Consider the following 12054-nt stretch of genomic DNA (forward strand, 5'->3'; position numbering starts at 1 on the left):
TATCTTTGTGGCGTTCTCTGTATTTCCTGAATCTGAATGTTGGCCTGCCTTGCTAGATTGGGGAAGTTCTCCTGGATAATATCCTGCAGAGTGTTTTCCAACTTGGTTCCATTCTCCCCGTCACTTTCAGGTATACCAATCAGACGTAGATTTGGTCTTTTCACATAGTCCCATATTTCTTGGAGGCTTTGTTCATTTCTTTTTATTCTTTTTTCTCTAAACTTCCCTTCTCGCTTCATTTTATTCATTTCATCTTCCATCACTGATACCCTTTCTTCCAGTTGATCGCATCAGCTCCTGAGGCTTCTGCATTCTTCACATAGTTCTCGAGCCTTGGCTTTCAGCTCCATCAGCTCCTTTAAGCACTTCTCTGTAATGGTTATTCTAGTTATACATTTGTCTAAATTTTTTCAAAGTTTTTAACTTCTTTGGCTTTGGTTTGAATTTCCTTTTGTAGCTTGTAGTTTGATCGTCTGAAGCCTTCTTCTCTCAACTCGTCAAAGTCATTCTCCGTCCAGCTTTGTTCCACTGCTGGTGAGGAACTGTGATCCTTTGGAGGAGGAGAGGTGCTCTGCTTTTTAGAGTTTCCAGTTTTTCTGCTCTGTTTTTTCCCCATCTTTGTGGTTTTATCTACTTTTGGTCTTTGATGATGGTGATGTACAGATGGGTTTTTGATGTGGATGTCCTTTCTGTTTGTTAGTTTTCCTTCTAACAGACAGGACCCTCAGCTGCAGGTCTGTTGGAGTTTGCTAGGGGTCCACTCCAGACCCTGTTTGCCTGGGTATCAGCAGCGGTGTCTGCAGAACAGTGGTTTTTCATGAACCGCGAATGCTGCTGTCTGATCGTTCCTCTGGAAGTTTTGTCTCAGAGGAGTACCCGGCAGTGTGAGGTGTCAGTCTGCCCCTACTGGGGGTGCCTCCCAGTTAGGCTGCTCAGGTGTCAGGGATCAGGGGTCAGGGAGCCACTTGAGGAGGCAGTCTGCCCGTTCTCAGATCTCCAGCTGCGTGCTGGGAGAACCACTGCTCTCTTTAAAGCTGTCAGACAGGGACATTTAAGTCTGCAGAGGTTACTGCTGTGTTTTTGTTTGTCTGCGCCCTGCCCCCAGAGGTGGAGCCTACAGAGGCAGGCAGGCCTCCTTGAGCTGTGGTGGGCTCCACCCAGTTGGAGCTTCCCGGCTGCTTTGTTTACCTAAGCAAGCTTGGGCAATGGCGGGCAGCCCTCCCCCAGCCTCGCTGCCACCTTGCAGTTTGATCTCAGACTGCTGTGCTAGCAATCAGCGAGACTCCGTGGGCATAGGACCCTCAGAGCGAGGTGCAGGATATAATCTCCTGGTGCACCGTTTTTTAAGCCTGTCGGAAAAGCGCAGTATTAGGGCAGGAGTGACCCGATTTTCCAGGTGCCGTCTGTCACCCCTTTCTTTGACTAGGAAAGGGAACTCCCTGAGCTCTTGCGCTTCCTGAGTGAGTCAATGCCTCACCCTGCTTCGGCTCGCACACGGTGCGCTGCACCCACTGACCTGTGCCCACTGTCTGGCACTCCCTAGTGAGATGAACCCGTTACCTCAGATGGAAATGCAGAAATCCCCCGTCTTCTGCGCCACTCATGCTGGGAGCTGTAGACCGGAGCTGTTCCTATTCGGCCATCTTGGCTCCTCCCTGGATTTTCTTTAAAGACTGGAAATAATCTCCTTTTTCAGATTACAGATACAGACTGCACCAGTATTTCTTCTATCTCTAAATAAAGGAAACTCCATTAAAACAATAAATAAAGCATTTTACCATGGCTGCTACAGAAGGCATTTAAGTAGCTCTGGCTACCACCTGCACTAAATTCTTCAATTATGACTGCCATCCATGTGCTTCAGACAGTTTGACAAGGGCAGCTGAATCAGTGAGAGACACCAAGTCCATGAGAGGGAACAAGAGCACCATAAATGAATTAAGAGTTGGGTGACAGAGGGTCCTCATGGAGAGCCTGATGTGAAAGGAAAAGCATGAGTAAGTGTAAGTCTAAATAGTAACCTACCCCACCCCAATAAACTCCATCCCATTCTGCCGAATCCCCTGCATGCCACGGATGTGGGACCTAAGGAAGGCTTCTTTGATATATTTGATAATCCTAGAACAAATCTATTAATAAGCACAACTGCTTGGCTACACTTGTACTCTCACCCTTTATCCTTTTGGTGAATTAAAAAAAAAAAAAAAAGACGTCTCCCTTTGAGGAGGAGACAGGTGGATCATGAAGAGACATGGCCAGACTGTGGTTATATAACTGCGAAAGGATGAATTGTTGGTGGGCACTGGCATTGCAGTGGGGCAGCAGGCAGAGGAGGAATTGTTCAGATGAACATTGTATGATACCACATGCAGCATTCTAGAGGAGGTGGCTGCAAGCTGAGCTAGCAGGGAGAGGGAGGTTGAGCAAGCGGGAAATTGGGAGCAACCAGAGTACTGCCAGCAGTACTGTTCAAGTCATGTGTAAAATAATTTCTCATATGTGCTCAAGGTCTTTGAGTAAGGAAATAATGATAAAATTACTCTCATCAGCATCCATAAAATGTGCTTCTGAGAAGGCCTGAGGGCTACATGTCTAATATGCTGGAATTGGTGCTAACATAGAAGTGTACAGTGAGTGTTTTGACAGTCATTTATTCTGCGTCCAGTGGTCAGGGAGGAGACGACATTTGAGCTGGCCTTGAAGGATATAGACAGCACCCATCTTCTGATTTCACATGCCTCTGCTCATCCCAGAGACCTCTGAACTTATCGGCTTTATATAAAAACGTTAGTGACGGTTGGCTAGCTTGAGCAATAACACTTCTCTGAGCAAACCGAATTGTCTCAAGCTTTCATCATTTTGTTGGTGGATGTTCAGATGCTGTGGAATAATCTAGCTATCCAGCTGCATCAAATGTTGCATTACCAAAGAAAATGGTTTCTTCAACTGAACATGAGAAGTTCAAGGCTGCCTGCAGACACAATCCATCTGTGAATACAACTTTCCTTTGCCCTGGTGACTGAATAGTACATTAAGCTCCATGATATGCATGAGCCAGGTTTCATCTTTGAGGATGAGATCTTAAACAAAGGAAAAAATGATAACACGGCCTTTGGGTCATGTCCTTTTCCACGAGTTTCCCAAGTAATTTTTTGCAAAAGAATAGGCTTTTTGTGTGGTAGTTTGCATACCATACCATGAAGAAATTGGAAATCAAAGGACAGTATTATACTAGTCACCCTCACCACTGACCATTTTAACATAGCAGAGGCATTGCTGCCTAGTGGTTAGTCATGCCCATTCTGTAGCCAGACCCTTGGATTCAAATTCGAGTTCCTCTGCTTACAAACTGAATGATCCCTGGAAATTACTTAATGTCTCAATACCTCGGTTTCTTTATGAGTAAAAAGGGAATTATCGTAGTGCTCATCTTATATTGAGAATTAACTCTAAACTACTTCTAAAGGTCTACAAAAGTTGGTTGTAACAGATTAATTTCTGAACTGTTGGATACTCCTTAGAATTCCTGGTAGACTCCATCTCAAATTTTTATCATCTCTGAAATTGACTGTACAAAAAAAAAGTGTCTATTAAGCCTCTTAAAACAATGTTGATTACAATGATTTTAAGAATGACATTGTGATAGCAACAGCAATGACAATTCTTTAAAAATAGTTGTACCTAAGATTCTTTAGTGATTGTATATGCTCTGGGCTCAATGCTTTATTCCACATCATGTTATTTAATCCTTCTCCAAGCCCTATACAATAAGTTATGGTTCTTCACGTTTTATGGAAACAAAGAGAGATGTTCATAGCAACTAGGTAATTGGCTGTGCCTCTCATCTCTGATAAGTGCCAGGACCTGGATTTAAACTAGAAGCTCTGATCTTAATCTAATTACTTTAGTTTCTCATGTATCACTCTGCACTGCATTCATCAATGTAAGTACTGTATCTCCCTGTAGACTGAGATATAGAAGCTGCATTTTCTTCTATTTCTCTTGTACCCTTCTGCAAAACCCCGATCTTTTCTACATCATGCCAATACTGTTAACAATGCTTATTGCTGGTGGTTCTTGGTTTGTTTATCTTCATACAGTCATTGATCTTTTAGCACTTAGTTTCTAATTTTTCTCTTCATCCTATTTCCTTCTTTTAAATCAAATCTGATCATATCAGGACTCTACTTAAAATTCATCAATGGCTCCTCATTTTGGGCAGAGGGAGTGAAAACCAGATCATTACCACAACCTGCAAACCTTGCACGATCCAGCCCTGTCAATATTTTGTTTCATGTGACTTGCTGTTTCCTCTTGATCTCTGCACTTCAACCACATGGTTTTATTTTTCCTGTTCCTAATATAAGCTTTGATCTATCAAATCACAGGGTATCTGATATGCTATCTCCTCAGTTTAAGCATTCTTTCCTTCTGCATTTGTACAGGTTTTCCCCATTCTTCCTAGAAATTTAAAATCAGTAAATGTTTCCTTGTGGAAGACTTCCTGGAGCTGACATTGGACATTGTCAAGTTGCCGTGTACCTTTCCTCTGTAGCACCTGTTGCAGTTTACCTTGGCCGTTAGACCCCAAACTCTATGAGGGCAAGAGCCAGGTCTTTTAATAGAAATAGAAAATAATTCATTTTGACTGCAAATATATAAAAGGGTGTGTGTCTATAGAAGGGCCCTCAGTTCACTATCATTGAAAAATGCATTAATTATATTTTCACCATAATGGAGAAGAGATTTTGTGATTGCACGTACAGATACACACATATAAACATACACAGACTGCAGAATTATTTCTAAACTAACTGAGCTTGTTTTTCTAAGCAGATTTAAGTTAAGCAAATGTAAAATTGCAGTCAGAGCATTAATGGGATCTCACTGGCAGAATCAGCATCATGGGGTATAGGCATGAGTGGTCCCTCTTTGCTATTTGATGTCTTCCACCACATGATCCCACAGTGTCTATTCAATCTCATCTTAGACATGCTGTCAACCCATTATAAAACATCACACTGCATCTCACCTCTTACATACCTGGCTTGTGACCTGCCTGGGCTCACTCCCAGATATCATGCCTCCCTAGGCTCTTGCTTGCTTCATTCCCTGCATCAATGTTGTCCCTGTTCTTTCTAATTGTCTTATTAACAGTGCCACTTCAAGAGCAGATATGTGGAGTTAGTGTTCAAGACCTAGCTGTCAAATGAGAATGGTTTCACAGTGGTGCTGTGAAGGTGTCCAAAGATGAAGACTGATGTGTAATAGGCCATGAATAAATGTTATTCTACCATACTCCATTATTCAGAAAGCAGAGCTAAGTCCATCTTCTGCAGGAAGCCTCCATGGATTGCACCCATCCAAACTGACACTCCACCTCCACATTACACTATCATGTGCTGTCTACGCTGTGCATTTCTACTCATCTCATCCCTTGGGATGGTTCTGTAACTATTTCATAGGTACATATGTGGCCTTTTAAATAGATTATTCATATACCAAGGGCAGAAAACTTGTCTCATGTTAACTTCTTATTCTCATTCACGGAGCCTCATAATAAGTGAATATTAGAGCAGTTTAACTTTTAAGGAATGAAATTTATATCATACTTATCAGCCACCCTGTATTGTGTACGGTTATTAAGTATCTCACCTCCTTAATTTCTATGATAAAGAAGGCACTGTGGGTATCTAACTTTAGCTTACTAAATAAGCACTCAGTCTTTTTGGTAATAAATAGCTTTGGCTTAAAGGAAGTATCCATATGGGAGAAAATGTTCTGTCAATATATTTATTTTAGTCCTATCATTGCATGGTTCCACTAAGGTATCTAAATAATTATATTATTGATTTACACATGCATGTGTAAATATATTTGACAAAATTTTGAAGATGTAAAAATATTCACCATGTAATATTAATTGAAAATAGGGGAATAAATGGTGTGTATTGTGATCTCCACTCTGTATAATGTAAAATTATCAGCTGGGCACGATGGCTCGCACCTGTAATTCCAGAACTTTGGGAGGCCAAGGCGGGCAGATCATGAGGTCAGGAGATAGAGGCCATCCTAGTTAACATGGTGAAACGCCGTCTCTACTAAAAATAATAATAATAAAAAAATCAGCCAGACGTGATGGCGGGTGCCTGTAGTACCAGCTACTCGGGAGGCTGAGGCAGGAGAATGGCATGAACCTGGGAGGTGGAGCTTGCAATGAGTGGAGATAGCACCACTGCACTCCATCCTGGGCGACAGAGCAAGACTCCGTCTCAAAAAAAAAAAAAAGAAAGAAAGAAAGAAAAGAAAAGAAAAAAATTAAAAACAAAATTATCAATTACATACTAGAAGAAAAGTCATTAAATATTAACAGAAACTGAATCTAAATATGATTTTAGATATGATGTTTAAATATATTTACATTCATTACTATTATTTTCAATACATGTCATAAATGACTATTACTTGCTCAAATTTTTCATTACATCAGTGTAAGATCTAGAAGTTGTAAACTTATAAACTCTTAATAAAATGCAATATTCTGTATAAAAACTGGCAATATGTTCATTAATTACTGTATCAGTCCATTGTCACACTGCTGTAAAGAACTACCTGAGACTGGCTAATTTATAAATAAAAGACATTTAATTGACTCACAGTTCCACATGGCTGGAGAGGCCTCAGGAAACTTACAATCATGGTGGAAGGTGACAGGGAAGCAAGGCATATCTTACATGGCAGCCAGAGTGAGAGAGAGCCAGGGAGGAAATGCCAAACAGTTTTAAACCATCAAATCTCATGAGAACTCCCTCACTATCACAAGAACAGCATGGAGGAAACTGCCTCTATGATCCAACCACCTCTCACCAGGTCCATCCCTTGACACATGGAGATTAAAATTCGAGATGAGATTTGGGTGGGGACACAGAGCCTAACTGTATTAACTACCATATTTTTAAACTAAATGCTTTTGGTGAGTGTTTATTATGTCTTTCTGCTGGTGCATAATACAGTTTACCAGGCACAGAGAAAATAATAGCAGAATGTCAGTATTTTGAATGCTTAAGTATCTACCTTTAGTCTATTGGGAAGTAAAGATAAGTTCAAGCCTAAAAATGTACTCAAAGAGAAATAATATAGTAATATAAGTTAATAATGGAGGTTATAAAAATCTTTCAAAGAGTATGATCACTAAAATAAAATGTAAAGTATAATAGGTGTTATATAAGTAAAGATGAAAAAGTATGTGTGTGTGTGTGTGTGTGTGTGTGTGTGTGTGCGCGTGTGCTGGTATGGCTTATGATATGCATGTTAGGCCTGTGTATGTAGAAGCATATTGATTTGTGTTAGTGTTGGCATATGTGTGGGGAAGGTTTGCAGGGGGTCAAGTAAAACTATGAATAGGCAATGCAGTTCAGGAAGGACCTTGAGAGGAACTGACCTCAAAAACCTTGGAAGAAATCTTGTTCCTAAGAGCCAAATCATGCATTTAGTCTGAGCATGGTGGCTCACGCCTGTAATCCCAGCACTTTGGGAGGCCGAGGCAGGCGGATCACCTGAGGTCAGGAGTTGGAGACCAGCCTGACCAACATGGAGAAACCCCATCTCTACTAAAAATACAAAATTAGCTGGGATGGTGGTGCATGCCTGTAATCCCAGCTACTCGGGAGGCTGAGGCACGAGAGTTACTTGAACCCTGGAGGTGGAAGTTGCGGTGAGCCAAGATCACGCCATTGCACTCCAGCCTGGGCAACAGGAGTGAAACTCCGTCTGAAAGAAGGAAAGAAAGAAAGAGAAAGAGAGAAAGAAAGAAGGAAAGAAGGAAAGAAATTTATTCTGTCAGATACCCTAAATCATCTCTCTCAAGTTCAAAGTTCCACAGATCTCTAGAGCAGGGGCAAGGTGACACTAGTTTCTTTGCTGAAGGATAGCAAGGGTGAACTTTACTCCAGTTCACAAGTTCCTCATCTCCATCTGAGACCACTTCAGCCTGGACTTCATTGTCCATATCACTATCAGCATTTTGGTCGAAGCCATTCCACAAGTTTCTAGGAAGTTCCAAACTTTTCCACATCTCCCTGCCTTCTTCTGAGGCCTCCAAACTGATTCAACCTCTACTTGTTACCCAGTTCCAAAGTCAGTTTTACATTTTTGTGTATCTTAATAGTAGCATCCCACTCTCTGCAGTACCAATTTAGTGTATTAGCCTCTTTTCTTGCTGCCATTAATAAGTACGTGAGACTGGATAATTTAAAAGAAAAGAGGTTTACTTGACTCATAGTTCCACATGGCTGGGGAGGCCTCAGGAAACTTGCAATCATGGTGGAAGGCACCTCTTTACAGGACAGCAGGAGAGACAGTGAGTGCAAGCAGGGGAAATGCCAGATGCTTATAAAACCATGAGATCTTGTGAGACTCACTCACTATTATGAGAACAGCATGGGAGAAACAGCCCCTGTGATCCAATTACCTCCACCTGGTCCCACCCTTGGCACTTGAGGACTATGGGGATTACAATTCAAGATGAGATTTTGGATGGGGACACAGCCAAACCATATCAGAGATATTTCACCTGGTATCACAGTCCAGCAGCCAGGTGTATAATTGCCCCTGAATGGGTTGCAGAACGTTGTGCCTGGTACTAAGCGCTTTCTGCTGAGTTTGGGATGTTTGGTTATGCAGCAGTGTTGTGGTGTGGCTAACGAATTCAGCTGCCATTCCCTTAAATTCTTATGAGTTCCACATCTACCTAAAACACTGCCATATTTACTTGAACCACATGGAAGATGAGCCCTTCGTAACTAGAGACAAGTAAAGAGAATGGGCCAAGTTTATCCAGCTAGAAGGTAATGAGGACATGTTAGGGAGCCTAAACTTTGTCTAGGATACATACTTCCCAGAAACAGCTGCTTTTAATTTATTCAGATTAAGGGATATAGTCAGCTGCCTAATTGCTAAGAAATTACAATTTACTCATCGAATAAAAGCTTATTGAGTACTTATTGAATACAAGTAATTATTAGCTCAGGGTAATGTGAGGAGCCTCTGATGGCAGCCAGACATTCTAACCTTTTGATGCAATGACATTAAGATACCTGAGGATTTGAGCAGGACTGTTTTATATTGAGGATCCTGTGCCCCATAGACAAAATGACCCTGAATCGATCTCAATATGAAAAATGAGAGCTCAAAATAAATGATCTCTAAAGGGCCTCTAGCTCTAAAATTCTAAACTGTAATGATTATGGCAGGCCTCTAGACTATATATTTCTGGTATTATTCATCAACATTTTCAACATTTCATCATGGGGAAACAACTTTACGACATGAAAAGTGTTACAGGTGTATACGTTATATTTGTATGATGCTTTACAGTTTCCAATATACTTACAATGTATTCTCTTCTTGTATCCACAAAAATGTCCTCTGAAGTAGAAAGGACAGAATTTCAACACACATTTAGTGGTTTTATTGACAGGGACCCTGAGTAGTTTAAAAATTCCCTAAAATTCGACAGAAAATTAAGGACACTGTTTGAGCTTGAAATCGTATTTCTTAAGAATCTAACCCGTTTTTGGTACACTATCTGTAAGGAGAACACACATATGTATAGAATATGCAGACAGAGACATTTTTTGTCTTTTTATTTTTCATTCATTAGTTGATTCAGTCATTCATTGATGTAATTATGAAATAACCAATTTATTAATTTCTTTCAAGAAAGTATTTTAAAAGTATTAAAACCAAAGAATTTGTAGTGAGTTGCCAGGGTTTGTATCTTAGTTCTGCCAGTATTCAGCTGCATGTCGTGCCACTTTTCTTATCTGCAGAATGGAATCAGTCATAGACTCTATCTTATAATTTTAAGACAATGAAAACACTAATAGGTATTAAGGCTCAAGGTAGCACTTGTCCGATGGTACATACATTATGCCCATTCTTATGCTTCTGCACTGTCTATGCATGTATTGAGGAAAGAAAGGAGAATAAAATGTTGAACTTGGCTTATAGTTGGGAGTAGGGGAAAGAAGGGGAATTGATGAGTAATTTTATTTGTAAATAATTATACAAATGTTTTTAAAATGTTATTATGAATTAGGTGCAGTCTGAAAGCAGGTGACCTCTGTTCTAAAAACTCTTGAGTAATTGTGACTTTAAAAAATATTGCCTTTGAGTTCAGACAATAGCCTCAGAGTTTCAGGATGAGCAGATGTCTGTGGTTTCCTACAAGGATCCCACTCTTCATTCTTCTGCATGTCACAAATATTCCTTAGAGAAATCTTCCCCAGTGAGCAGGAGGTGAATGGCTGGGATCCCCAGCTCCAGCAGCTCCAGCAGCAAGCCTTCTTCCATTCTTGCCAATTATCTGGGTCCACAGTGGAGAGCCAACATTAGGATAAAGATGACTCCATGGGAGGCAGTAGGAAGAGGAAGTAATCATACGCTTAAGTGAATTTCTGACCTTCTGAGTTTCTCTCAAACCAAAGCCACCTCCAATCCTGGAATGTACAGTAAATAAACCAATAAATCCAGTAACTAACTTCTATTGTCTAAGCCAGTTTGAGGTATGCTTTGGCTTGCATCAGAATTTTTCCTAACTGATGCGGATAACTTAGATCCATAAAACTGGGATAGTGCACTTAGTGGAGTCAAGTGCAAATTCCCCCAGGCATCTAGGTGTGATGTCCCACCGCTGCTACCACCAGCCCCTTCCCAAGTCCACATCCCCATCTCAAGGCATATGTGATTGATCAGTCGTGACCTCACCTGCCCTTCCTCTTCATTCTTGGGTTTATCTCTGAAACTGTATGCCTGTAGGTCTAAAGCCTAGGTAATATGACTTCAACTTCATGTAGCCCTAGCCCTGCTCATCAGACTACAGCACAAAAAATTGACTTCTGCTCTGCCATTCATGTTTTCTTCCCAGCACAAAAGGTGATCTTTCTATCTATTACCAACATATAAGGCCTGTATTCAGTTAATATAATAATATATTAATAGCTAACAAGAACCCACTTTTTCATAAAAAGAGAAACACAAGGTGAAAAGGGCTTGATATAAATGTTTCAATAATCATTACGACTTGTAAGAGAGTCAGATTATAGAAAAGATTTCAGAAAACTCCATTTCAAACTCTTTTTTTTTTCTTCTCTACTTTCTGTCTTCTCAGAATGTTAAAGAGATTTCTAGGTCCTAAGTTTGCTTCGGTTTATTTGTTTCCTGCCCATTAAAGTATATAAATAAATAACAAAAACTCATAACAACTGACTTGTCTTATAAACTCATCCAACCCTTTCTAACTTAAGTTGAAAAATCTTGATGCTTTTTGCGTTAGGTCTCTCCTTTAAAATTCTTCTCACATTTATTATTCTATGAATTAAAATGTCTATTTTTTATAATCTCATATTTCTTTCCTGGATCTTATCACTATCTGTTTCTGCCTCCCTGATTTTCCATGGTGTCTTCAACTAATTTATTTCCATCTCTTTATAGCAAATAAAATTCCCTTAACCTTTCTCTGTCAGACATTACAAAGGATATTACTCACAGTGCTTAATTCCTTCCCACCTTTCTGGCAATTTTATGCTCAGTGAGGTGCTGTCAAAGGCAACAGAGAATTTACCAAGTAATACATAAACCTAAATACCTCCATAAAAAAATAAAGACTCCTGTGGTTTGCCTTATTTTCAGAATTATATCGATTACAATGTTTATTCTATCAGCTGTATATTTTGCATTTGCTAGGTTTTATATTCTCCCCATATCTGTGGGTTTTCTCCACGTACCACAGTTTTCTCCCCCATCCGAAAGCTGTGTATGTTCTGTGAGTTGGCGTTTCTACACTGTCACAGTCTGAGTGAGTGTGGGTGTTGGTGTAAGCGAACCCTGTGATGAAATGACGTCCTTCCATGGTTGGTGCCCGCCTTGAGCTACTGGAATAGGTTCCAGTCACCTGAGACCCTGAACTGGAATAAACAGTTTGGAAAATGATGATTGATTGAATACAAATGATTGTAAACTAAACATTTGGAAAGCCCACAATAATTGCATAAA

At 40.3% G+C, this 12054-nt stretch overlaps 1 annotated feature.

Annotated features, from left to right (window-relative positions):
• Nucleotides 737–1936: an enhancer, noted in NCBI's record as "MED14-independent group 3 enhancer chr8:138052445-138053644 (GRCh37/hg19 assembly coordinates)". NCBI's record gives its function as "activates an origin of replication core promoter dependent on BRD2, BRD4, P300/CBP and CDK7 cofactors, and independent of MED14, by STARR-seq in HCT116 cells {active_cell/tissue: HCT116}" and the evidence as "EXISTENCE:reporter gene assay evidence [ECO:0000049][PMID:35650434]".

This window comes from Homo sapiens, chromosome 8 (assembly GCF_000001405.40).
Source record: "Homo sapiens chromosome 8, GRCh38.p14 Primary Assembly".
Classification (NCBI taxonomy): domain Eukaryota; kingdom Metazoa; phylum Chordata; class Mammalia; order Primates; family Hominidae; genus Homo; species Homo sapiens.